The following is a 26,972-nucleotide window of genomic DNA, read 5'->3' as shown; positions in this document are numbered from 1 at the left end:
CTCAAAGACCACAAGGGTTATGTCCAAAGGATGCAAGAGTCAACTAAAAAGGGCTCCCACTGGCCAAAGATGGGATAACACAGGCTTCAAAAAAAATATTAATCACAACTTATTGAAACCCATCAAATATGTTCAAACCCATGAATTCATAATTATTTATATATTTTTATATATACTTATATATATTTTTATATCTATATATACTTATATAAATTTATATATCTATATATTTACATATTTATATATTTATATATATTTATATACACTTATATATATTTATATATATGTATATATATTTATATATATGTATATATATTTATATATCTATATATTTATATATCTATTTATATATCTATATATTTATATATTTATATATCTATATATATATTTATATATCTATATATTTTTATATATTTTTATATATCTATATATTTTTATATATTTATATATTTATATCTATATATTTTTATATATATATATTTTGAGATGGAGTTTTGCTCTTGTTGCCCAGGCTGGAGTGCAATGGCGCAATCTCGGCTCACTACAACCTCTGCTTCCTGGGTTCAAGCAATTCTCCTGCCTCGCCTCCCGAGTAGCTGGGATTACAGGCATACGCCACCATGCCCAGCTAATTTTTTGTATTTCTAGTAGAGACAGGTTTCACCATGTTGTCCAGGCTGGTCTTGAACTCCTAACCTCAGGTGACCCACCCGCCTAGCCTCCCAAAGTGCTGGGATTACAGGCGTGAGCCACTGTGCCCAGAATTCATAATAATATTTTTTAAAAACACACAATGGGGGAATTGGTCACCTTCAGAGGATAAGGAACCAACTCATTGTGGAAACTGGTAAAGTGAAGAATCAAGGTTTCATCCAGCTTTTCTACCGAACTGTACCTTTATGTAACCGAAGAGTACAGGAGGGACAAGAGACAATACTCTTCTAAAAGTATTTAAGTCAATAACTGAAAAATGACAAAATATCTCCATCTTGTCACTCCTAATAAATTAATGGATCTAGGTATTGAGTGTCAACAGCTACTAATATCACAAAAGGAAAGAGAACCAGGTACAACATGACTTTTTTTTTTTTTTCGGCACGATCTCGGCTCACTGCAAGCTCTGCCTCCCAGGTTCATGCCATTCTCCTGCCTCAGCCTCCTGAGTACCTGGGACTACAGGTGCCCGCCACCACGCCCGGCTAATTTTTTGTATTTTTTAGTAGAGACAGGGTTTCACCGTGTTAGGCAGGATGGTCCTACCCTTCTCGGCCTCCCAAAGTGCTGGGATCACAGGCGTGAGCCGCCGCCCCCGGCCACCGTGACTTCTAAGAGCACACCACTAGCCAAAGTTTTGCCAAAGGAATCAAACAGGAGTTTGAGCAGGCCTCTGGACCCACTGTCAATTTGCAGGACACAGAGCACACAGAGGAGCATGTTGAACTGCACCACTGATGTGCAATCAGCAAAATCCAGACTACAGGACACTCTACAGGACAAATCCTCTAAGTTTTTCAGTAGATAAGCTGAAGAAAATAAAAGGATAGAAGGGAAACTTTTTTTTTTAAAGAGACAAGACTAAACTATTATGTTCACTAATGCACATTTGAGCGATAAAACTATAATGACATGCAAGGAAGTGATTCCTATAAAGTCAAGATGAGGTTGCTAAGGTGGGAGAGAAGGTGCTGATATTGGGGTGGAGATACAAAGGGGTGTATGGGGTTTCTGGAAGTTACAGGGTTTTCTCTCCATAATCATTCATCCATCTATACATCTATTTGGTTGGATTTTCTGAATCTGCATTCTTTATTGTATAATAAAAAGGTTTGTAAAAAGTAAGTGTAAAAGCTACCACTTAACATCTTCCATATCCAAAGCATTATATTATTTATTTTACATATGCTATCACATTGTTCCAAAGAACCTTTGAAAGTATTTATTATATCCTTTTTTCAGATGAAGAGACTTCTCCCTTAAGCAAGCTGCCCACTGTCACAGTTATTAGGGGAGAGCCAAGATTCACATTCAGACCAATGACTAACTCCAAATCCATTCTCTTCATGCCTATGCTTTACTCATTCCCAGTTATTCATTCTTTTAAATATGTACTTCTTACCTACTAAATCATCCAACTAGGCCTTAAAGACACAGAGGGAAGTTTCTGCCTTCATATGGAGTTCAATAACTAATGAAAAGGAAACACCAGGAGCCATCCAAATGAGTATAAAATTACAACTGTGACAACTACAGTGAAGGAGCGGTATATGCCGCTGTATAGCTACCACGAAGGGGATATAGGGCGCTGTATACCTACCGCGAGGGAGGGGTATACGGCGCTGTAAACCTACCGAGAGGGAGGGGTATAGGGTGCTGAATACCTACCGCGAGGGAGGGGTATAGGGCGCTGAATACCTACCGAGAGGGAGGGGTATAGGGCGCTGTATACCTACCGTGAGGGAGGGGTATATGGCACTGAATACCTGCCATGAAGGAGGGTTATATGGTGCTGTATACCTACAGTGAACGAGGAGTATATGGTGCTGTATACCTACCGCGAAGGAGGGGTATATGGTGCTGTATACCTACCGCGAAGGAGGGGTATATGGCTCTGAATACCTGCCATGAAGGAGGGTTATATGGAGCTGAATACCTACCATGAAGGAGGGGTATATGGTGCTGTATACCTACAGTGAATGGGGGGTATATGGTGCTATATATCTGCTATATATCTACCGTGAAGGAGGGGTATATGGCGCTATATACCTACCATGAAGGAGGGGTATATGGTGCTGTATACCTACAGTGAACGAGGGATATATGGTGCTATATATCTACCATGAAGGAGGGGTATATGGCGCTATATTCCTACCGTGAAGGAGGGGTATATGGTGCTATATATCTACAGTGAAGGAGAAGTATATGGTGCTATAAGAATATGTAAGTTGAAAGATAGGAAAAGCTTCCCTGCAAAACTGATGACTGTGGTATAAAGAAAGAGAAGTTAACTAGATAAAGGGGGCAGCAGCATGCTCAAGGCAGGAGAACAATATATAAAGTCCCTACAGACAGAAAAAGCCCGGCACTATGAGGACTGAGGGTGGAGCATGAGGAGTGAGGGTAATTATGACTGGAGATTAGGCTAGAGAGCTAGGAAGAGCAGGAAGTTACTGAAAGATTTTAAACAAACATGCTGCTGAAGAGGAATTTGATTAGGCTTGCATTTTCAAAAGAATCAATGGAAGAGGGAGCCAACATGGAGGCAGAGACCAATTGAAAGGTTGTTACAGTCATCTAGGTGGGACATGACGGTAGCTAAGACCAAGCAGGAAAGACTGAAAGAAGTAGATGAATGCAAGATACTCAAGAAATAAGGGCAGGCACCCCTGTAATCCAACATTCTGGGAGGCCACGGTGGGAGGATGGCTTGAGTCCAGGAGTTTGAGACCTGCGTGGGCAACACAGAGAGACTCCATCTCTAGAAAAAACTTTTTTAATTAGCCCGGGTCAGGCACAGTGGCTCACACCTGTAATTCCAGCACTTTGGGAGGCCAAAGCAGATTAATGGCTTGAGCTCAGGAGTTCAAGACCAGGCTGGGCAACATGGTGAAACCCTGTCTCTACAAAAAATACAAAAATTAGTTGAGTGCGGTGGCATGCATCCTTAGACCCAGCTACTTGGGAGGCTGAAGTGGGAGGAAGGCTTGAGCCCAGGAAGTGGAGGTTGCGGTGAGCCAAGATCATGCCACTGCACTCCAGCCCGGGCAACAGAGCCAGATCCTGTCTCAGAAAAAAAAAAAAAAATTAGCTGGGTGTGGTGGCACCCACCTGTAGTCCCAGCCATTGGCGGGGGAGTGAGGCATGGAGGATCACAAGAGCCCAGGAGGCTGATGCTGCGGTGAGCCATGATTGTGCCACTGCACTTCAGCCTAGGCAACAGAGTGACACCCTGTCTCAAAAATAAATAAATAAATAAAATTAACAAAAGAGGTAAAAGGACAGGACTTGATGGAGTGCCTATGGGGTATAAGGAGAAGATGTCAAGAAGGACTCAGTTAGGCCGGGCGCAGTGGCTCACGCCTGTAATCCCAGCACTTTGGGAGGCCGAGGTGGGCGGATCACAAGGTCAGGAGATCGAGACCATCCTGGCTAACATGGTGAAACCCCGTCTCTACTAAAAATACAAAAATTTAGCCAGGCGTGGTGGTGGGCACCCTTATCCCAGCTACTTGGGAGGCTGAGGCAGGAGAATTGCTTGAACCTGGCAGGCAGAGGTTGTAGTAAGCCGCGATCGCACACTGCACCCCAGCCTGGGTGACAGAGCGAGACTCCATCTCAAAAAAAAAAAAAAAAGGGACTCAGTTGTGGGACCTGACTTTCAGAGGTGCTATTCACTGACACAGAAACAAGAGGAACAAGCATTAGGAGATATACCTAATGCTAAATGACGAGTTAATGGGTGCAGCACACCAACATGGCACATGTATACATATGTAACAAACCTGCACATTGTGCACAAGTACCCTAAAACTTAAAGTATAATACTAATAAAATTTAAAGAAAAAAAAAGAAACAAGAGGAACAGAGACAGACACTGGTCATAAGATGTCACAGACTCAAGCTTCGGGTACCACTGGGACTGCCAGGTGGAAATGTCAAGTTAAGCAGTTGAATAAATAAGTCTGAGGCCCAAAACTAGATCTGAACCTCAGGAATAAATCTCTTAAGTCCTCAATATAGACAGGGATGATTATTGTAGGAGGCCAAAGTTGAGACTGCCCTAAAGTAACAGAATGAAGAATGAGACCTCAAGAATGACCCAAATGCAAATCTGGGAAACATCCAACTTTCTGAGCTATCTAGCGGTTGCAGTTTCAGAAAAAAAGAAAGGTTCAGTGAAATGGAAAAAAATCAGAAAAAAAAAAAAAAGATTAACAACTCTGCTTCAGGAAAAACACATGGAAATATCTGGAACAGTTAAGATGTTAATTTCATGTATAACAAATTGGCAGCCTGCAAGCAGCCCTCGGGTATATATTTTTATGAGTTGATTTACATAAGAGGAAGAGGCCTTGTGGGAGGTGGCTTATGTGTAGCAGCTCAAGGTTGGGGACTAGAGAAAGTCCTGGCTTGATCCCAGCAGCCAGTCTGAGCCAGATGGAGAGAAGCCACAAGAAAAAAGAAGATGCTGCCTTCACAGGAGATGCAAGGAGGGGCATAAGTTCCTTAGCTTCCATAAGAAGAAAACATTTTTTCTTTTTTCTTTTTTTGTTTTTTTGAGATGGAGTCTTGCTCTGTCGTCCCAGCCTGGAGTGCAGTGGCACAATCTTGGCTCACTGCAACCTCCGCCTCCAGGGTTCAAGCGATTCTCCTGCCTCAGCCTCCTGAGTAGCTGGGACTACAGGCGCCCACCACCACACCTGGCTAATTTTTTGTATTTTTAGTAGAGACAGGGTTTCACCATGTTAGTCAGGATGGTCTTGATCTCCTGACCTTGTGATCCGCCTGCCTCAGCCTCCCAAAGTTCTGAGATTACAGGTGTGAGCCACTGCACCCAGCCCAAAAACATTTTTTAAAAACATGCCTAAGTGAGAGAAACAGGGCTAGCCTGCCAGCTTCTATAAAGCATACATGTGGCCTTGGCTTAGATAAACCCCGAAAGACGGACCAAGGCCCTCCAGACATTCAGCTCTGGAGGACTGAGACAGGAGTACCCCAACAGGGAACGTCTTTCTCACAGACTGGCAGTGGCGGCATAGCACAGGGACCTCTCTCCAGTGCTTTGCAAGCACCAGGAATGGAAGAATGTAAGTTGAGATTATCCCCAAATACATGGGACACTGTCTGTGGGCTCCCAGAAATGCTGATGGGGTGGCAGAGCAAGAAGGTAGGAGTACTGCAAGAGGATGAGGTTCTGTATGAGATCAGAACCTCATTAAAAAAAACTTTAAAATTAGTTTAATTTATGTAAACTCACCCGTATATACAGGTGGGTGAGAACTACAGAAATTCAGGTTACTGTAGCAATGAGTATTTGTAAAATATTTATCTAATTTTCCAAGAGGTATATTCTACACTAAAATAGGAAGTCTATTGAATAGATCCTAGTAGCCTAATAAACAAGTTATGTGTCTTATCCTAAGGATGCACAATTCCTTGCTCCCCTCTTTGCTTCAGAAGCATTTTACTTGGAGTTACCATATTCATTTTTCTTTACATCCAGCTTGTGGCTACTCATACCTAGAAACCCTGGGCTGACAAACATACCAGGACTGGCAAGTGCCTAGAGTGGCTGCTGAGTGCTGGCTAGCTGCAGGGGCAAAGCAGGCATACCTCACACACCTAGCTGCCTTCTCCCAAAGCAGCACCTGGGCTGAGAGGCCCACCAACATACATGCAAACCTGCTGGGATTTCTGGAAAGCTCCACCATACTTACAAAAACTACAGAAGCAGGCCAGGAGTGGTGGCTCATGCCTGTAATCCCAGAACTTTCTGGGGCCAAGGGGCACGGATCGCCTGAGGTCAGGAGTTCGAGACCAGCCTGGCCAACATGGCAAAACCCCGTCTCTACTAAAAATACAAAAATTAGCCAGGCTTGATGGCGGGCGCCTGTAATCCCAGCTACTTGGGAGGCTGAGGCAGGAGAATCACTTGAACCCGGGAGGCAGAGGTTGCAGTGAGCCAGGATTGTGCCACTGCACTCCAGCCTGGGTGACAGAGCCAGACTCCGCCTCAAAAAACTATAGAAGCACACACTCCTAGACTAAAGCAGGGTGTGACTTAGACCTAAATCCCGGCCCTTAGGGTATCCAGGAGTGCCCCTGCGAAGGGCTGCCTACCTACCTGTCATCCCCATTCAACCAAGCAACCTAGGTGGCATAGGTGACCTACAGCAGTGAAGGATAAAAATACAGGTTCTGAGTTTGCAATCTTTTTCCTTCAAAAGTACAGTTGCAATGTTAAAAATGCTGGCAAGGTGGTATGCAATTATTTCAGTCCTAACAGCCTTCCACAGACACTGTGCATTTTCTGTGTCCTGAACGCTCGGCACCAAACTTGCTGCGTCACCTTTTTAGCACAACCACGTGTACCATTCTGACTATAAAGAATCCTACATTTTAAGGAATCTAGGGCACTTCCTATCCCCAAAATGATATGGTTGGGAAACGAAGCCTAAGATATTTTTAGGAAGGCAACAGTCAATTACCATTACCAATGTGACATCGTATGCTTCAAAAACAAAAGCAGCTGAAGATTCAAGAGTGAGAAATAAATCCCCTGGGAATGACCAGAATTAAGAAGGTGCCAAGTAGAACATTCAACTTGGAAGACTTTCCTAGGATACATCTGCTGCTATATATTGTGGGATCCTTTGGTTTGGGGTTGAATTTATTGTTTAAAAGGAATGTTAGGACCCTCCTGAGAATATTCTTGAACCTATTGTAATGATAAATAATGAGAATTGTATCAAAGAAAAGTCTCACTCACTTTTGAATGTACTGTCTGTTGTCTCCATTCACACAGCTTCATTAACTCTCACTTTTTATCATTGCAGCTACACAGTATTTCTCTTTTTTTTTTCCCAAGACACAGTCTCACTCTATCACCCAGGCTGGAGTGCAGTGGTGCGACCTTGGCTCGGCCTCCCAAAGTGCTGGGATTACAGGCGTGAGCCACTGCACTCGGCCAGTATTTCTCCTTTTAAGTCCACCCCAATCACATATCCATTCAACGTTTCAAAGCCCAGCTCTGATGCTATCACTCCTGGGCTCAGAAAATGCCAACAGTGACCATGCCTGAAGACTAAAATTCAGTTCTACTCCACGGCATTTCCACAACCTGGCCAACACTACCTTTCTAATCCTAGCTCCTATGAGTCATCTCATATACTCACTGGTAAGTCAAATCTCAAACGGTACATGTACTCTGGACCCATTTTGTTGGTTTTTAAAACTTAGAAGAACACATATTGCTTCCTTTAGATGATTTTGCTAAATTCAAATACACACTTTTGTCGGCCGGGCGAGGTGGCTCACAGCTGTAATCCCAGCACTTTGGGAGGCCAAGGCGGGTGGATCATCTGAGGTCAGGAGTTCAAGATCAGCCTGGCTAACATGGCGAAACCCCATCTCTACTAAAAATTACAAAAAGTAGCCGGGCGTGGTGGCGGGCGCCTATCATCCCAGTGACTCGGGAGGCTGAGGCAGGAGAATCGCTTGAACCCAGGAAACAGAAGTTACAGTGAGCTGAGATTGTGCCACTGCACTCCAGCCTGGGCAACAAGAGCAACACTCCATCTCAAAAAAAAAAAAAAAAAAAAAAACCAAATACACACTTTTGTCATTTCCTGGGTACACTTGATTAGCATTGTTTTTTGTCCCAGGTTTAATCATGCATTGTACCTTCACACTTTGAAGTTATCACTATTCATATACAACTTCATCTTATGCTGACTGATCTTAATAGTTCCATCACGACAGATTATACAGAGAAAAACTTTCCTTTATGTGTAATCACTGTTCACATACCAATATTATATGTATCAAAAACTTCTCCTTTTGAATACATGTGTGTATGTGCCTATATGTATGTCAAATATATCTGGAATAAACAGAAACTGTTAATAGTGGCTGCCTAGAGGGAAGATGTTTTTTCACTGTATACCTTTCTGTACACTTTTTTTAAAATCATATGATTGTGCAACCTATGGAAAAAACTAAATTAAAAAATAATGAATTTAAGTCAGGCAAGATGACTCACACCTGTAATCCCAGCACTTTGGGAGGCCAAGACGGGTGGATCACTTGAGCTCAGAAATCTGAGACCAGCCTGGGCAACATAGCAAAACCCCGTCTCTACCAAAAATACAAAAATTAGCTGGGTGTAGTGGTGCACACCTGTAGTCCCAGCTACTCGGGAGGGTGAGGTGGGAGGTGGGAGGATGGCTTGAGCCCAGGAGGAGAAGGTTGCAGTGAGCCAAGATGGCACCACTGCCCTCCAATCTGGGCGAAAGAGCCAGATCCTGTATCAAAAAAAAAAAAAAAGAATTTAAAGTAAAACAACGCTTATACCACAGATAGGATTTAAGGTTTTCAAAATGCCACCTTCCTCAAAAGTATTTTTCTCAGTGGCCACCATGACTGAAATCCCCCAGTTAAAACGCAAAAGAATATTCTAAAGACAGTAAATATATTATATGCCATTATCCATTATCAAATGACTGAGGATTAGTTTATCACATTAGCATAATAAAGGAAAAAGCCACAAAGAGGCTGTAAATAGTCTCCCTAATTCCTGTTTCTTTTCCTTTTCCCCTTGAGTAACTAAATGAGTTTGTTTTACTCAAAGAACATTTGTATTAGTAAAAGAATTCATTTAGGAATCCTAGCCATCTGATCCAAGCGAACTGGAGCAGTAGATTGCTGTGTGAATGTGTTTACTGTCTGTCTCTAAAAACATCTCTGCCATCCAGTCCTCCCTGTGGGTCTAATCTACTGGGCCGGAGAGGGCAGGGAAGGGAGTACTCTTGTGCATCTTGGAATCCTACCCAACACCCAAAACAGTGCCATGTGCTTACAGAAAGCTTTATTCCAGATTTTTTTTTTTTTGAGACGGAGTCTCGCTCTGTCGCCCAGGCTGGAGTGCAGTGGCACGATCTCGGCTCACTGCAAGCTCCGCCTCCCGGGTTCACGCCATTCTCCTGCCTCAGCCTCCCGAGTAGCTGGGACTACAGGCGCCCGCACCACGCCCGGCTAATTTTTTGTATTTTCAGTAGAGACGGGGTTTCACTGTGTTAGCCAGGATGGTCTCGATCTCCTGACCTCGTGATCCACCCGCCTCAGCCTCCCAAAGTGCTGGGATTACAGGCGTGAGACACCGCGCCAGGCCCATTATTCTAGTTCTTAATGCCACCTATTGCAAAGCTCTGACCCTTCTCTAGGAAACTGTGCTTGAAATTTCAGACCTAAAAATATCAGTTGGATACTTAAAATTGTTCTTATAAAAATCCATCTGTTGAGCACATGCTTTGTGTCTGACACTAGCACTCAGCAACTAACTAGACAACAAAATTATCTCACAAGGTCAGAAATATGAGGTAGGTAGCAGACATTCAGTAAATGCTTATTAATCCAATTTGATGAACTTGTTAAACTACTTTCCGGCTAAACTTTGAAGTCTTTCATTAATGCTTTCTTCACATGGCAGTGGCCTTTAGTTTCCGATATTCTACTAAGCACCCAACTTTTTATTTTTATTTTTTTAAGGTACAGGGTCTCACTCTATAACCCAGGCTGGAATATGGCGGTGTGATCATGGCTCACTGCAGCCTCAGACTCCTGGGCTCAAGCGATCCTCCTGCCTCAGCCTCCCAAGTAGCTGGGACTGCAGATGTGCACCACCACTCCCAGCTAATATTTTTTTTCTTTTTTTTTTTTTTTTTTGGTAGAGATGGAGTTTCTCTATGTTGACCAGGCTGATCTGCAACTCCTGGCCTCAAATAATCCTCCCATTTTGGTCTCCCAAGGCACTGGGATTAAAGGTGTATGTCACCATGCCCAGGACACCCAACTTCTGTGGACTTCTTGTATCAGCCCTCCAATCCTCATTGGCAACTGCCTATTTATTTTTTAACTTAGGAGACATAAATAAGAAGTCTCTAAGGGCTGGGCATGTTAGCGGGTAGATGAACTTGCCCTACAGGGAGAGTCTGCTAAAGGGGAGATAACAGGCTATATTTGCATTTCTAAAGGGGAAGTGGGGAACTGGGGGAAAAAGAAGAGAGAGAGAAATAATTAAACCATCTCTTAGGAAAGTAGGGGTACTCGGTTACATCACGGTCAGGCCACTGCACTGCAGTCTGAGCAACAGAGCGAGACCTTGTCTAAAAAAAAAAAAAAGGATCTAGTAAACCACAGGGTAAAAAGAAAAGAGAAAAATCTGTATTAGACTACACAACAGAAAAACTGACAAAGTTATTCTCTTTTACCTTCTTACCATCAAAACGTAAGAAATGGTGTCCTCTTTTCCACTGTGAGAAGATGTACTTTGAATTGCTGATCTTATGATGATAGTAAGTTTTTCTAAACTATGGATTCATTCTTGCCCTATTTCTCTTGCTGTTGTTTTGATTGGATCAAGTGCTGGGGTCAAGTAACTGTGGCTAGTAAATCTGAGGCTCAGACCCAGGTGAGTTAACTGGCCTGGCAGAAGATAGAAAGACAACCTTGGACACGGGACACCACACTCTGACAACCCACACAACAAAGCTGGACTCACAACTGTCAACCCCAACAGCAGGCTGGCCCTAGAGCATCACAGTTCCGCTCCGCTCTGCTCACCTGTAACAAGAGTCCAAGTTTTTCTAAACTGGGATCCAGATATCATCTGTCAAGACTTCAGCAACAACCTTCCTGACCTTCACAAAACCTTCTGTGCTATCTGAAGATACCACGGAAGTCTGGGATGAAGTTTCTATCTGAGATGAAAATTATTTTTACAACTTTAATCAACAGTGATTCTCATCCAAGTAAATCAAAATCCATGTACATAGGAGATGCTCAACAGGTACAAGCTCAATTGGAAGGGAAAAGCACTAAGTTAGTGACCATAAATGGACATAACGTTCTTCACCATCATCAGCGAACACTTCTTGAGCTCCTGCTAGGTGTAAGTGATAACAAAAGGTGTCAATTATAGGTCCTAACCACAGGCAGTTTACACTTGATAACTATTACACTATGAAGTATTCAGAAGCATTTGAAAACCTCTAGACATAAAAACACCCTTTCCCTTTTCAGTGAGGTTTCTCTAGTTGCCTATGTTTAACAGTGTATGCATTTTTTTCCTCTACCAAAAGAAGTCAAGAAGAAAAAACAAGGGAAGGAAGGATATACAGCTAGAAGGACTGATCCCAGTGTCTGACATGTCTAGCTCACACTAGGAGAACTCAAAATATATAAGGATAAATGAGGATTCTCTTCTTCACGCTGAATCCAAATTTGTGTAGCAGTCACTGTTATTCTAAGGAGCTCCATTTGGTTCACTGCTAAACAGCCTCCCCCTCCACATATGTTAGCTGACCTGTGTGGTCCAGCTCCCACAGCACTGACTGTAGATATTTTATACTACACCACATGCTTCTGCTTCCCACTCTTCCATTCATAAAGAAGAGAACATTTAAAAAGCACACACAGCCAGGCACGGTGGCTCACGCCGATAATTCTAGCCCTTTGGGAGGCTGAGGCAGGAGGATCACTTGAGGACCCTGTCTCTACAAAAACTTAGCCAGGCGTGGTGGCTTGCACGACAGAGCAGACCCTGTCTCAAAGCAAAAAAAAAAAAAAACACACACACACACACACACACACACACATCACACAAATTATTGGAAATACAGCACTAGAGGCTTGAGTAAACAGTACCAGTACTACAAAGAAAATAGAATTTTATGTGAATGACATGTATTTCAGTTCTAAGCAATATATAACTTAGAATGTAATTTCCTAATGCACTTAAAAAATTTAAAAAAAAATTTTTTTTTTTTTAAGAGGCAGGGTTAGGCCAGGCACAGTGGCTCACGCCTGTAATCCTAACACTTTCCGAGGCTGAGGAGGGCGGATCATTTGAGCTCAGGAGTTCAAGACCAGCCTAGGCAACATGGTGAAACCTGTGCCCAGCCCCTAATGCACTTAATTTCTTATTTAAGGCTATTTTAGGAATTCAAGGACAAAAATAATTACCAATATTCATTTTCCTTAGATTATACTTCCCCTCTTCTATTACCTGAAATCTTCGGGTAGTATTCATGAGAGATTTATACATGCTGCTTCATTTTCTCTGTCACCTTTAAAATACTATTTTCTCCAACTCCTCTACTAAACAATCTTTCTAGATGATAATCCACGTTTTACCTACCCAGAGGTGCCAGTGAGCTGGGAGATTTGCGGGAATGCATTTTCCAGGAAACAGAGTGCTAACCCACAACAGGAGGCTTTCAATGCCCTGGGAGATGGTCTGCAATACCAGGACTTTGATCTTGACCTAACCCTCTAAACTTCCTTCCCTCACCTACTAGTCCCTCTTCATCTCTTACCTCTTAATCACTGTTTCAAAAGCATTTATCACTATCCCACAGTATTTATTTATTGCCTGCTCCCCCATAAGATCTCCAGAGAGCAGGATATTTATGTGTCCTGTTGATTCAAACTCAGCTTCCAAAACAGTACCTGGCTCACACAAGATGCTCAATAAATATTTACCGAATGAATTATAACATCTTACAGTACTCAAGAACTAAGACATATTTTATTGATCAACAAACAAACTAGTAAAATCTCAGGGTCCTTACTTGCCATGGTAGAAAAAAAGAGGAGAGACATATCTGCTCCGCAACTCCTGCTAAATGAGATATGAAAAACGGATGGCTAAGTGGAGATTTTGTAAGAGAAACCAACTTTACTAATTTTTGAGACCACTTCTAAAAACAGGAGTTGCCTGCTCCTTAATATACTGCCTTGTTTATCAGCCTACTGAGCGAAATGTCTGTTACCTACTAATGCCTTCCGCCATTATCTCAGCGCTGCATTCTGAACTAACACACTCAGAGTAGTTTGGTGAAGTGTGGTGCTTTCTTTTAAAATAAAGGAGTGAGCAGGTCATGTGATAAGCAAATACAAACCCTGGGGACAAATGATCATTAACAAATATTCTTATGAAGTTGAGCCACTGCCATTTATCTTACCCCAAAGCGCTTGGGCAATTTCATTAGAATGATGGTATCACTCAGTCAAGCAGTGAGTGTTAAGCTGGGATAGAATAAAGTTCCCTTTAAAGGATTATGAGAAGGAATGTGGAAGAAAGATGGGGCAGTGGGTTTGGCACTGAAGAAGAGAAGCGCTCATTTAAAACACTGTTCTTTCCTACATTCCCTAACCCCCGCCCTAGTGTCCCACAGCGCGCTGAGGATGGCTTTCCTTTTGTTGCAAACCAGTGATTTCTGGCATCCCCCTTCCAAATCACAGAAGCCAGCGGGGACTGCACAACTATAATACGTATCCGCATGGTGGAAGGCAGGATAGGGTGGTGGGAAGGGTACGCGGGCTTGGGGGTGAGGCGCTGGGCCAGGGACCGAAGCAAGTTTCCTCATCGGCAAACGGTCATAAAGTTGCCTCCCACCGAGAACGGCCAGAAGAACCAAGCGGATCGCCAGGACCGTGCGCAGAGCCTGCACGTAGCGAACGCTGTGATTCCCTTCTTCCCCTCCCACGGCAAGCGACACCGAAGGTCTGGGGACACCCTTAGGGTTGTGACTGAGGATGGTTGTCGAGTGACTACAGAGCCCAGTAAATAACGCGCATCTCCTCCAGCACCGCGGAGCGCGGAGCCCGGAGCCCGGAGCCCGCCGCGCGCGGGCGCCGGGGAACGCTCGCGTCCACGGCCGGGCCCGCAGCCCAGCCCCCTGGCTCCCGGCTTCCCGCTTCGACAAGGGCATGCCGCGGCCCCCCGGAGCTCGGGGCGCGGGAGCTGGCACCGGAAGCGGGGAGGGCCGGCGGAGCTGGGCGGCCAGGAGTCGGGTACTTACCCCCGGCGGGCGGCGGGCGGCTGAGGTCGCGGCCAGCCGGCTCCAGGCGGCGGCGAAGTCGGGCGGCTGGGCGCGCGGGCTCCGGCAGACGAGGGCAAACAGGATCCCCAGCAGGAAGGCGGCCGCCGCGCAGCTCAGGTACAGGCTGAGCCTGAACAGGACGGAGCTCAGCCCCGCGGCCCCCGCCGCCTCCCCGCTGCCGGGCCCCAGGAAGGAGAGGGCCACGGCGGCGAGTGCGGCCACCGCCACGGGCTTCCACCAGCTCCGGCCGCCCGGGGCCCCCGGCGCCGCCGCTGCTGCTGCCTCCGCGTCCCCCGGGGACTCCGGCCGCCGCTCGCCCCTGAAGCCCGAGACAGGACGGCCGCCGGCGCCTGCGGCCCGCGCGGGGCTGGGGCCGGCGCCGCCACTGTCGGTCGCATCGGGGTGCATGCTGCTTCCTGGGCCGCTAAGGACAGGCACATCTCCTGCCCCCCGGTCCCCCGCCGGCGCTCCGGAGGCAGGGGGAGCCCGCGCTCATGCCTCGCCCGCGGCCCACCGAGGGAGCGGCCCCCGCAGACGCCGCCGGGCCCCTCTCGGCGACCCCTCAGCGCCGCCACCAGGCGCTGGGCCCGTAGCTGCCGGGCCGGGCGCAGCCAGGGAGCCCCACCGTGTTGTGACTGAAGCCTGGCCAGCCTGACGCGGGCGGGGCGGGGCCGCCCTGAAGTGCGTGTCGGGCGGGGCCCGGAGCCACCGCGGCCGCTGAGTGACAGCCGGGAGGCGCCCACCCACAGCGCGGGGGCGGGGTCCGGGCCGGGGCCCCACGGGGAGAGGGCGCGACCCAGCGCGGTGCACACCTCTCTTTCCCACGCTCCCCTCCTCCTCTACAGGATGCCGTCTGTTCATGGAAAATTTTGCTGCAGGTGTCAGCGGCGCTGGTAATTCCTGAGCTCAGGTGATCCCGTAATTCTCCCTCTCCGCTCATCACTGACGAGTAACCTCTTCGCTTTGCTTACAGCCGGCAAACATTTCTGCCTGGTTTTCACTCGCTATTTAAATAGGCAACCGTTCCCGAGACTCCCTGTCACAGTTTCTAACGACCTTCCCTTTCCCACCCTGCCGCCTTAGGGAAGGAATCAGACACGTGCGGTGGAGTAAGTGAAGCCTGCAATTCCTAGCTATGGAAAGGTCCAAAGAAGTCGGCCTGGTGCAACAGGGTGCACGCAGCTGCCCATAATCACTTTGGCTCCACTTCTGGTTTTTGTTTTGTTTTGTTTTGTTTTTTGTTTTTTACCAACTATTCAGTTCAAATGCTATCAGCCACGCAAAGGAACGTGGTCCAAATAATTTTTAGAGTATATATTTGCCTTTTCTTCTGTCATAGTCCCAGCCAGTAATATACAGATAACGCTTGCTAAGTAGATGCCAATATGCTACTTAAACACTGGCAATTACTGCTAAGACTAATAAAGAAGCAGATGTAGCTTTTGCTTTTAGTATCAATTGGTATTCATGGGCATTTCATTCTTTCTTTCTTTCTTTTTTTCTTTTTTTTTGAGACGGAGTCTCTGTTGCCCAGGCTGGAGTGCAGTGGGGCGATCTCGGCTCACTGCAATCTCTGCTTCCTGGGTTCAAGCCATTCTCCTGGCTCAGCCTCCCGAGTAGCTGGGATTACAGGCACGCACCACCACACCTAGCAAATTTTTGTATTTTTAGTAGAGACGGGGTTTCACCATATTAGCCAGGATGGTCTCAATCTCCTGACCTCGTGATCCGCCTGCCTCAGCCTCCCAAAGTGCTGGGATTATAGGTGTAAGCCACCGCGCCCGGCCTCATTTCATTCTTTCTTAAACCTTCTAAGTCAGAAATGAAGAGTGCCTCATGCTAGATGTGACTTTGCCATGCCAAGGGGATGATCAAAATAAGTTACCAGTTTCCTTTCTCCTCCTTTTTTAAGAAAATAGGGGCGGGCACGGTGGCTCACGCCTGTAATCCCTACACTTTCGGAGGCTGAGGCGGGCAGATCATGAAGTTAGGAGTTCAAGACTAGCCTGGCCAACATAGTGAAACTTGAACCCCGGAGGTGGAGGTCGCAGTGAGCCGACATCGCGCCATTGCACTCCAGCTTGGGCAACAGAGTGAGACTTCGTCTCAAAAATAAAATAAAATAAATAAAGCAGTATGATTAATTTTGAAGAAGCCCTTTTGCCTCTAAAATAGTTGTTAATTTTCACCCAATTGGAGCCCCTCAAAGTGTACCCTACCAACCCAAATTATTCAAATAAAGCACAGTGGCTTGTTATCAACAACAACCAAATCTATGTTTTTTGATCATTTACATGCCGAGGACTGTATTCTGAATTCTTTATGATAAATTTAAATTAATTTTTCAATTTTAGCCCTAGCTCACCATAATAGTAACTAACAGCACTTACTGTGTGCCAGATACTATTCTAAGGACCAAACATACTTCATTTAATCTTCCCAGCAACCCCGATGGATACCATTATCTCCATCTACACAGCGGGGAACTGAAGCACAGGAGGTAAGATGACATGCTCAACATTGCAAAGCTAATCAATAACAGAACTAGGATTTAGTTGTTACTCCATGTGGTCCAGCTTCAGAGCTTGTGCATTGAATCGCTATGCCATGATGCTTCCTAAGAATTCTCTGATTTACTCATCTCATATTACAGAAGAGAAAAAAAAAGGTTAAATTCTTGATCCTGATCTGCATTCCATGCTTAAAAGTGGATAGTTGGCCAGGCGTGGTGGCTCAAGCTTGTAATCCCAGCACTTTGGGAAGCCGAGGTGGCTGGATTACCTGAGCTCAGGAGTTTGAGACCAGCCTGGTCAACATGGCAAAACCCCGTCTCTACTAAAAATACAAAAAATTAACCAGGTGTGGTGGTGTGCGCCTGTAGTCCCAGCTACTCGGGAGGCTGAGGCAGGAGAACGGTGTGAACCTGGGAGGCAGAGCTTGCAGTGAGCCGAGATCGCACCACTGCACTCCAGCCTGGGCGACAGCGAGACTCCGTCTCAAAAAAAAAAAAAAAAAAAAAAAAAAGTGTGACTGGTTAAATTTAGGTGTCAATTTGACTGGATTGGGATTACCTGGAAAACTGACAAAGGATTATTTCTGGGTGTTTCCCAAGAAGATTGCCCCTGGGTCAGTGGATTGAGTAGGGAAGATCCACCCTTGATGTGGGCAACCGTCCAATCAGCTGTGGCCCAGAAAGAACAAAAAGGTGGTTTCCTCTGTGCCCTGAAGCTGGGATACACTCTTCTCCCATCCTTGGACATCAGAACTCCAGGCTCTGGCGTTGAGACTCCAGGTTACACTAGCAGCCTCCTGGGTTCTCAGGCCTACTGCCTCAGAGTTATGCCATCCTATTCCCTGGTTCTGAGGCCTTCAGAGTTGGACTGAGCCACACCACCAGCTTTCCAGGCTCTCCAGCCGGCGAAGGGTGTATCATCAGAGTTCTCAGCCTCCATAATCATGTAAGCCAATTCCTCTAATAAATTCCTGCTCATATATCTATCTATATCCTTTTGGTTCTGTCTTTCTGAACCAAGATTAGTACATCTTCCATTCTTTTTTTTTTTTTTTTTTTTTTGAGACAAGAGTTTCGCTCTTGTTACCCAGGCTGGAGTGCAATGGCGCAATCTCGGCTCACTGCAACCTCCGCCTCCCCGGTTCAAGAGATTCTCCTACCTCAGCCTCCCGAGTAGCTGGGATTACAGGCATGCATCAGCATGCCTGGCTAATTTTTTGTATTTTTAGTGAGATGGGGTTCATCGGGCTGGTCTCAACCCCCCGACCTCAGGATCTGTCCACCTTGGCCTCCCAAAGTGCTGGGATTACAGGAGTGAGCCACCATGCCCGGCATACATCTTCCATTCTGTCTGTCCTGCAGACCATCTTAATGTTGTTATGTGGACCAGAGGCGCACAAGTCATGGGCTGAATAATATTCCATTTTATGTATCTACTACATTCTGCTTCATCTGTCTGTTGATAAACAAACACTTGAGTTTTTTCCGCCTTTTGGCTATTCTGCTATGAACATGGGTGCATAAGTATCTGTTTGAGACCCTGCTTTCACTTCCTTTTAGTGTATGTCCAGAAGGGAAATTGCTGGGTCATATAATTCTATGTTCAAGTTTTTCAGAACATGCCATACTATTTTCCACAGTGGCTGAGTATGCTACATTCTCACAAGCAATGCATAAGGGTTTCGATCTTTCCACATTCTTGCCAATCCTTATTTTCTATTTTTTTGACTAAAGCCATCGGTATCTCATTGTGTTTTTGACTTGCATTTCCCTAATTAGTGGTGTTGAGTATCTTTTCATGTGTTTATTGGCCATTGGTATATTTTCTTTGGAGAAATATCTACTCAAGTCCTTTGTAAGATAAACTTTTGACCACAGTTTGTTTATTTATTTAGAGACAGGGGCTTGCTCTGTCGCCCAGGCTGGAGTACAATGGCGTGATCTCAGCTTACTGCAACATTTCCCTCCTGGGTTCAAGCGATTCTTCTGCGTCAGCCTCCTGAGTAGCTGGGATTACAGATGTGCACCACCACACCTGGCTAATTTTTGTATTTTTAGTAGAGACGGAGTTTCACCATGTTGGCCAGGCTGGTCTGGAACTCCTGACCTCAGGTGATCCGCCCACCTCAGCCTCTCAAAGTGCGGAATTACAAACGTGAGCCACCGCGCCGGGCCAACCACAGTTTAACAACTATCCCTGGAAAGTGGTGCCAACACAGTTTTATTAAGCACTTTAAAAGAAAGTGAAATTCTTGCTTTTTTTTTTTTTGAGACACAGTCTTACTCTGTTGCCTAGGTTGGAGTGCAGTGGCACGATCTCGGCTCGCTGCAACCTCCACCTCCGGAGTTCAAGCGATTCTCCTGTCTCAGCCTTCCGAGTAGCTGGGACTACAGGCTCACGTCACCACGCCCAGCTAATTTTTGTATTTTTAGTAGAGACAGTGTTTCACCATATTAGTCAGGCTGGTCTTGAACTCCTCTCAGGGGGCCCCACCCGCCTCGGCCTCCCGAAGTGCTGGGATTACAGGGGTGAGCCACTGCGCCCAGCCAATGCTGTCTTTTAGGCAACAAAAAGAGAATTGATTATACTTTTGGTAATTAAGACCAACAAGTACAAAATGCATTGTGAAGGACGAAAATAGACAATCCTTACTGGAACTCCCCGGGACAGGCAGGGTAAGACCCATATTTCCTACCCTTCTTTGCACTTAGATGTGAACAATATTTATTAACTACTGGATTGTATACCATTGCTGCTATAACAAATTACTACAAATTCAGTAGTTAAAACAACACAGGTGTATTGTCTTACAGTGCTTAAGGTATTAAGTCTAAAATCAAAATTTGCAGGCTCTAGTTCCTTCCTGAGGTTTCAGGAGAGAATCCGTTTCCTCCTTTTGCAGCTTCTACCTGCACTCCTTGGCTCATTGCCTCTGACATCACTCCAACCTCTAGCTTCTGTGCTCACAGCTCCCACTACTGACTTTGAACTTCTTGTCTCCATCTTATAAGGACCTTTGTGATTCCATGGGGTTCACTGGATAATCCTGGTTAATCTTCCCATTTTGATCCTTAATCACATCAGCTAAATCCTGTCTGCCACATAAGGTGACATATTCACGTGTTGTGGGGACTAGGAGGTGCACATTTTTGGGGTGCCATCATCCTACCATACCTGAGAGTTCAACGAGAAGTTATTGTATTCAATATATTCTGCAGAGATCATTTTTACCTTAGATTGTTTTAACTACCCACCTCGTTTACCACTCGGCAAAGGTCTTTCCATTCTGAAACCAGCCTCTGGTCCACAGAACTAACTAGTGGTATGAACTGAAATTTGCTGATAGAAAATATCACAAACACACAGCCGCCGTTCTTTTTTATTCTTGGTTTGGTAGAGAATTACAAGATAATCAAGGCAGCTTTCCCTATTAACGCACGAGAACAACGGGGCCTACCCGCGCCGCCCTAGGCAGCCGGGAGCAGCAGTAACGCCTCTAGGGCGCCATGGCAACCACGCGGGCTGGACCGCCTTCTTCCGCGGCTCTTCTAGTGTGCGCGTCCCTGGCCCGGCCTCCACTCCGCCCGCGTGGAGCCCCGGCCTGGCCGCCTGCCCGCCGCGCTCTGTGACGCCCGCCGCGAGGGCCGCACGAGGCCCGGCGTGCGCCCCCGCCTCTCCCGAAGCGCCGGGCCCCACGCCGCCCCTCCTTTCCCTTTCCGCTCTCTCCGCCTCCGGAAGCGCGGGCGCGCGGCGCCGGGAGCCCGTTCAGGGCCGCGGGAGTGCGCCAGCGCCGCGCGTGGGGCTGTGGTGGCCGCGGCTCTCAGGTGAGGGGCGCGCGAGCGGCTCCTGGCTCCCTGCTCGCGGGGCGCCCGCCACGCTCCTTTCCGTTCGCATCCGTCTCCCCGCTCCGGAGCCCAGGCGGCGGCGAGTACTCGGGGTGGGTTTAACGAAGCCTGCGCGGACGGTGGGAGACCGCGCCCCCACGACAGGGGCGCCCGCGGCGGCGGGTCGCGGCGCCGTTCCACCCCGGTCCCCTGTGAGAATGGCGGGTCCCGCCCTCTCGCGCGTTCCGGGTGGCTTTGAGGGTCAGGATCAGCCCTAAATTGAGATTGGGCCGCGACCACATGCCGGGCCCTGACGACTTCTTCCTACTTGTAGGGACTCGAACCTAACCCACGAGGCCCGAGGGGTTATCTGCCTTCCGGGGACGGTAGGGGATGTAGACAAGAGCCTAGCGTTCCTGGAAACAGGTGTTTAATTTGGGCCGGGATTTTCATGTACCCAATTGGGCATCTTGTTGGAGGCCTACTGTGCTGTTTAACTACAGAAATGTATTGTCACAGTAACAAGATGACAGTTTAAAAAGTGCCCGGTGCTTTTCTGTGTATTTTCCTGATGTTTGGTGAAAGCATTAGTCTTGTTATTGCTGGTCTGTAGGACCTGGCAAGTGGGGCGTGCCCAGTGACTCTCAGGCAGCTTTGATAAAAACTTACCTGTCTCTTTTTTTTATTTTTATTTTTTGAGACAGGGTCTCGCTCTGTGGCCCAGGGTGGAGTGCAGTGGCACGATCATGTCTCACTGCAGCCTCCCAACTCCTGGGCTCAAGCGATCCTCCTGTCTTGGCCTCCCAAAGTCCGGGGATTACAGGCGTGAGCCATGCCCCTCCTGGCAAAACTCTGTCTTGATTGAGCACCAAAGGGTTGTTATGGTCTGATGAACTATCCTTTAATTTTATCCTTTCCTAGTCTGTTGTAAAGAGAATCTTAACTACTTTATTAAGTCATTTTTCTTATTCTCTGGTAAATTGAATCACTTACCTCGTAGTAAATGTTATCAAAAGAATTGCTCAGTGGATGGGATTGTTGGGTAAATTTTCCTGTAAATTAAGTCACATGAGTGTCGAAATCTTTACAGTAACTCTGTTGGATATTATTAACTAAAATTTAAACCTGAAAAGTCTCACAGGCACCGGACTATGCACCAGGGCGCATGAACTGTGACCACTTAGGGAGGCAGCTGGCTTCCAGCTCTTGGGGACTGCATGACCTTATCATGGAAATGCAGATAAAGGCATAGTTGTGGTTTGTGCTTCCGGAGGGGTGGGGGAAGATGGCAGGAAACTATCAAGGAAACTGGGTTGAAACCCGGTGATTTTTTTTGTTTGTTTGTTTTTTGAGATAGGATCTCACTCTGTTGCCTAGGCTGGAGTGCAGTGGCCTGATCTCGGCTCACTGCAGCCTCAGCTCCCAGGTTCCAGCGATTCTCCCACCTCAGCCTCCGGAGTAGCTGGGACTACAGGCGAGAGCTACAACGCCCGGCTAATTTTTGTATTTTTTGTAGAGGTGGGGTTTGGCCATGTTGGCCAGGCTGGTCTCAAGCTCCTGGGCTCAAGTGGTCTGCCTGCCTGGGCCTCCCAAAGTTACAGGCATGAGACTGTAACATGAGCCACCGCACATGAGCCTCCATGCCCAGCCACACACATACAAGGCGATTTTTCTACCCTCGTGGGTAGCAAAGAGCATGGCTCAATCTTAAATCTCCTAACTCCAAACTCCTTTGTGGGATAAACATTCTTTGAATGACTAAATTCATCAGGTTCTCCTTTGGGTACTGGGGTTATAAAGATGAGGAAGTGACGAGGAGCTCCCAGTCTGGCAAGGAGACAAGTGTAGGGGATGGGGGGAAAAACAAAAATCCTTTTTCCTTTAGCTGGGTCTGCAGCTGGGGCTGTAAGGCAGATTAACAGGAGAAAAGGCATACGTATTTTATGTTAATTTTTACAATGACACAGGGCTTTCCTAGAAAAGAAGTGGATAGGCCAGAAAGTTTCTATACGGTGTTTAAAAGATGATAAACTGTGGAGATACGACATGAAGAGATCATAAAACCAGGTGGAGGGTTAGACCTCTAGGGATTGAAACTATGGGACGGTAAATACAGGCATACCTTGGAGATATTTTGGTTGCTTGCAGACCACCACAATAAATTAAATCTTGGAATAAAGCGAGTCACATGAATTTTTTGGTTTCCCAGTGCATATAAAAGTTATGTTTACACTATACCGTGGTCTGTTAAGGGTACAATGGTATTATGCTTAAGAAATGTACATACGTTATCTAAAAAATAATTTATGGCTAAAAAATGCTGTCAATCATCTGAGCCTTCAGGGAGTTGTAATTTTTTTTTGCTGGTGGAGGGTCTTGCCTCACTGTTGATGGCGGCTGACTGATCAGGGTGCTGAGTGCTGAAGGTTGGGATGGCTGTGGCAATTTCTTAAAATAAGACAATGATTAACTTTGCTTTATTGATTGACTTCTTTTCACAAAAGATTTCTGTAGCTTGTGATGCTGCTTGACAGCATTTTATCCAGAGTAGAACTTTTTTTTTTTTTTTTTTGAGGCGGAGTCTTGCTCTGTCGCCTGGGCTGGAGTGCAGTGGTGTGATCTGGGCTCACTGCAACCTCCGCTTCCTGGGTTCAAGAGATTCTCCTGCCTCAGCCTCCCAAGTAGCTGGGATTACAGACATGGGCCACCACGCCCAGCTAATTTTTTTTTATTTGTAGTAGAGATGAGGTTTCACCATGTTGGTCAGACTGGTCTTCAACTTCTGACCTGAAGTGATCCACCCACCTCGGCCTCCCAAAGTGTTGGGATTACAGGCGTGAGCCACAGCACCGAGCCTCACAGTAGAACTTCTTTAAAACATAGTCAGTCTTCTCAAACCCTGCCGCTGCTTTATTAGCTAAGTATACAGAATATTCTAAATCATTTGTTGTCATTTCAACTACATTTACAGCTTCTTCAGGAGTAAATTCCATCTCAAGAAACTACTTTCTTTGCTCATCCATAAGAAGCAAGTCCTCATCTGTTCAAGTTTTATTGTGAGATTGCAGCAATTCAGTTACATCTTGAGGCACCACTTATTTTTTCTTTTTTTTGACAGGGTCTTGTTCTGTCACCCAGGCTGCAGTGCTTTGGCATGATCCCAGGTCATTGCAGCCTCAACCTCCCCAGCCCAAGTGATCCTCCTGCCTCACAGCCTCTACAGGCACGTGCCACTGCAACCCAGCTTTTTTTTTTTTGAGACAGAATCTCACTCTGTCACCCGCTGGAGTGCCGTGACGCAAGCTCGGTTCACTGCTGCAACCTCTACCTCCCAGGTTCAAGTGATTCCCATGCCTCAGCCTCCCGAGTAGCTGGGATTACAGACATGTGCTACCACACCTAGCTAATTTTTGTATTTTTAGTAGAGACGGAGATTCACCCTGTTGGCCAGGCTGGTCTCGAACTACTGTCCTCAAGTCATTTGCCTGCCACAGCCTCCCAAAGTGCTGGGATTATAGGCGTGAGCCACCGTGCCCAGCTAATTTTGTAGTTTAGTTTTTTCTTTTAAGAGACGGGATCTCACTATGTTGTCCAGGCTGGTCTAAAACTTCTGGGCTCAACTGGTCCTCCTGCCTTGGCCTTCTAAAATACCAGGCTCCACTTCTAATTCTAGTTCCCGTGCCATTTCTACCACAGCTGCAGTTCCTTCCCCAGTTAAGTCTTAAATCCCTTAAAGTTATCCATAAGGGTTAGAATCAGCTTCTTCCAAACTCTTGTTGATGTTGATATTTTGACCTCCTCCTATGAATCATAAGTGTTCTTAATGGGGAAGGTTTTCAATTTATTTTGCTCAGATCCGTCAGAGGAATTATTATCTGTGACAAATATGGCCTTACAAAATGTATTTCTTGAAAAGTAAGACTTGAAATTTGACTTACTCCTTGAACCATGGGCTGCAGAGTGGATGTTGTTAGCAGGCGTGAAAACATTAATCTTGCACATCTTCATTAGAGCTATTGGGTGACCAGGTACATTGTCAATGAGCAGTAATATTTTGAATTTTTTGTCTGAGCAGTCGATCTCAACAGTGGGCTTAAAACATAAAGTGAATTATGGCTGTAAATAGGTGTGCTGTCATTTGGGCTTTTTGTTTTATATATAGACCACAGGCAGAGTAGATTTAGCATAATTCTTAAGGCCCTTAAGATTTTTTCTTTTTTGTTTTTTTTGGACAGAGTCTTGCTGCCTCACCCAGGCTGAAATGCACTGGCACAATCTTGGCTCACTGCAACCTCCACCTCCTGGGTTCAAGTGATTCTCATGCCTCAGCCTCCCGAGTAGCTGAGACTATTAATATAAAAATTAGCCCCTGGCTAACTTTTGTTATTTTTAGTGGAGACAGGGTTTCACCATGTTGGCCAGGCTGGTCTGGAACTCCTGACCTCAGGTGATCCACCTGCCTTGGCCTCCGAAAGTGCTTGGATTATAGGTGGGAGGCACCGCACCCAGATTTTTCTTTTCTTTTTTGAGACGGAGTCTTGCTCTGTCACCCAGGCTGTAGTGCAGTGGCCGGATCGCGGCTCACTGCAACCTGCCTCCTGGGTTCAACCTATTCTCCAGCCTCAGCTTCCCCAGTAGCTGGAATTAACAGGTACATGCCACTACTCCTGGCTAATTTTTCTCTTTTTGTAGAGATGGGGTTTCGCCCTGTTGCTCAGGCTGGTCTCCATCTCCTGGCCTCAAGTGATCCGCCCGTCTCAGCCTCCCAAAGTGCTGGAATTACAGGTGGGAGCCACTGTACCCAGCCTAAGGGCCCTAATATTTTTGAAATGGTAAATGAGCACGGGCTTCATTTTAAAGTCACCAGCTCCATTAGCTCTTAATAAGAGTCAGCCTGTTCTTTGAAGTGTTGAGACCAGGTATTGACTTCTCCCTCTAGCTATGAAAATCCTAGATGGTTAGCATCCTTTTCCAATGGAAGGCTGTTTCGTCTGCACTGGAAATCTGATGTTTATTGTAGTCACATTCAGCAATTCTCTTAGCTAGATCTTCTGCAGCTTCTCCATCAGCACTTGCTGTTTTACCTTGTACTGTTTTGTCTTTTTTTTGAGATGGAGTTTCGCTCTTGTTGCCCAGGCTGGAGTGCAATGACGCGATCTCGGCTTACTGCAACCTCCATCTCCTGGCTTCAAGTGATTCTCCTGCCTCAGCCTCCTCTGTAGCTGGGATTACAGGCATGCGCCACCACACCCGGCTAATTTTGTATTTTTAGTAGAGATGGGGTTTCACCATTTTGGTCAGGCTGGTCTTGAACTCCTGACCTGAGGTGATCTGCCCATCTCGGCCTCCCAAAGTTCTGGGATTACAGGCGTGAGCCACCATGCCTGGCTTACCTTGTACTTTTATGTGATAGAGTAGGCTTCTTTTTCTTCCTTTCTTTCTTTTTTTTTTTTTTAAGACAGAGTCTCACTCTGTCACCCAGGCTGGAGTGTAGTGATGCAATCTTGGCTCACTGCAGCTTCTGCCTTCCCAGTTCAAAGGATTCTTGTGCCTCAGCCTCCCAAGTAGCTGGGACTTCAGGCTCCTGCCACCACACCTGGCTGGTTTTTGTATTTTTAGTAGAGATAGGGTTTCACCGTGTTGGCCAGGCTGGTCTTGAACTCCTGACTTCAAGTGATCTGCCCACTTCAGCCTCCGGAAGTGTTGGGATTATAGGCGTGAGCCACCACACCCGGCTGAGCAGGCTTCTTTTCTTAAACCTTATGAGACAGCCTCAGGTAGCTTGAGATTTCTACATCGTCTTTACCTCTCTCGGCCTTCATAGAATTGAAAGTGAGTGAGGGCCTTGCTTTGGACTAGGCTTTGGCTTAGGGGAATGTGGTGGCTGGCTTGGTGTATCCAGACCATTCAGACTTTCTCCATATCAGCAGTAAGGCTCTTTCGCTTTCTTATTCCCATGTTCGCTGAAGTAGCAGTCTTAATTTCCTTCAAGAATTTTTCCTTTGCTTTCACAACTTGGCTAACTGGTGCAAGAG

The 26,972-nt window shown here is 46.2% G+C and overlaps 2 protein-coding genes across 18 annotated transcripts in view, besides 8 other annotated features; one reads left to right on the top strand and one right to left on the bottom strand.

Moving 5' to 3' along the window:
- Positions 1-20,598, bottom strand: part of SNX25 (sorting nexin 25) — a 174,406-nt gene extending 153,808 nt beyond the window's left edge. For 10 of the 11 annotated variants that reach the window (NR_186775.1, NM_001423234.1, NM_001378032.2 and 7 more), the window contains exon 1: positions 14,580-15,237. Coding sequence is in view for 9 of the 11 variants with exons in the window: in NM_001423234.1 (NP_001410163.1) it covers positions 14,580-15,008 (429 nt within the window). In the remaining 2 variants the exon portion in view is untranslated. Of the gene's footprint in view, positions 1-14,579; positions 15,238-20,367 lie in introns of those variants that run through there. The other variant, NM_001317781.2, reaches the window with a different exon arrangement.
- Positions 10,636-10,955: an enhancer, noted in NCBI's record as "active region_22250". NCBI's record gives its function as "activates an Ori minimal core promoter by ATAC-STARR-seq in GM12878 lymphoblastoid cells {active_cell/tissue: GM12878}" and the evidence as "EXISTENCE:reporter gene assay evidence [ECO:0000049][PMID:35858748]".
- Positions 14,429-14,618: a silencer, noted in NCBI's record as "silent region_15851". NCBI's record gives its function as "represses an Ori minimal core promoter by ATAC-STARR-seq in GM12878 lymphoblastoid cells {active_cell/tissue: GM12878}" and the evidence as "EXISTENCE:reporter gene assay evidence [ECO:0000049][PMID:35858748]".
- Positions 14,587-26,972, top strand: part of CFAP97 (cilia and flagella associated protein 97) — a 50,584-nt gene continuing 38,198 nt past the window's right edge. For 2 of the 7 annotated variants that reach the window (XM_017008483.3, NM_001292033.2), the window contains exon 1: positions 20,835-21,050. The gene's annotated coding sequence lies outside the window, so the exon portion shown is untranslated. Of the gene's footprint in view, positions 14,718-15,445; positions 17,101-20,834; positions 21,364-26,972 lie in introns of those variants that run through there. The other 5 variants (XM_047416016.1, XM_047416015.1, NM_020827.3 and 2 more) reach the window with 5 other exon arrangements.
- Positions 14,689-14,848: a silencer, noted in NCBI's record as "silent region_15850". NCBI's record gives its function as "represses an Ori minimal core promoter by ATAC-STARR-seq in GM12878 lymphoblastoid cells {active_cell/tissue: GM12878}" and the evidence as "EXISTENCE:reporter gene assay evidence [ECO:0000049][PMID:35858748]".
- Positions 14,959-15,538: a silencer, noted in NCBI's record as "silent region_15849". NCBI's record gives its function as "represses an Ori minimal core promoter by ATAC-STARR-seq in GM12878 lymphoblastoid cells {active_cell/tissue: GM12878}" and the evidence as "EXISTENCE:reporter gene assay evidence [ECO:0000049][PMID:35858748]".
- Positions 19,683-19,772: an enhancer, noted in NCBI's record as "active region_22249". NCBI's record gives its function as "activates an Ori minimal core promoter by ATAC-STARR-seq in GM12878 lymphoblastoid cells {active_cell/tissue: GM12878}" and the evidence as "EXISTENCE:reporter gene assay evidence [ECO:0000049][PMID:35858748]".
- Positions 19,883-19,992: an enhancer, noted in NCBI's record as "active region_22248". NCBI's record gives its function as "activates an Ori minimal core promoter by ATAC-STARR-seq in GM12878 lymphoblastoid cells {active_cell/tissue: GM12878}" and the evidence as "EXISTENCE:reporter gene assay evidence [ECO:0000049][PMID:35858748]".
- Positions 20,533-21,302: a silencer, noted in NCBI's record as "silent region_15848". NCBI's record gives its function as "represses an Ori minimal core promoter by ATAC-STARR-seq in GM12878 lymphoblastoid cells {active_cell/tissue: GM12878}" and the evidence as "EXISTENCE:reporter gene assay evidence [ECO:0000049][PMID:35858748]".
- Positions 20,752-20,923: a silencer, noted in NCBI's record as "fragment chr4:186125066-186125237 (GRCh37/hg19 assembly coordinates)". NCBI's record gives its function as "represses an EF-1alpha promoter that drives an FKBP-Casp9 reporter gene in an ReSE screen in K562 erythroleukemia cells {active_cell/tissue: K562}" and the evidence as "EXISTENCE:reporter gene assay evidence [ECO:0000049][PMID:32094911]".

The sequence above is a fragment of the Homo sapiens genome, chromosome 4 (genome assembly GCF_000001405.40).
Source record: "Homo sapiens chromosome 4, GRCh38.p14 Primary Assembly".
NCBI classification, from domain to species: Eukaryota; Metazoa; Chordata; class Mammalia; order Primates; family Hominidae; genus Homo; species Homo sapiens.
Note: the sequence above shows the minus strand (reverse complement) of the source record. Positions and strands in the feature narration are given on the sequence as shown.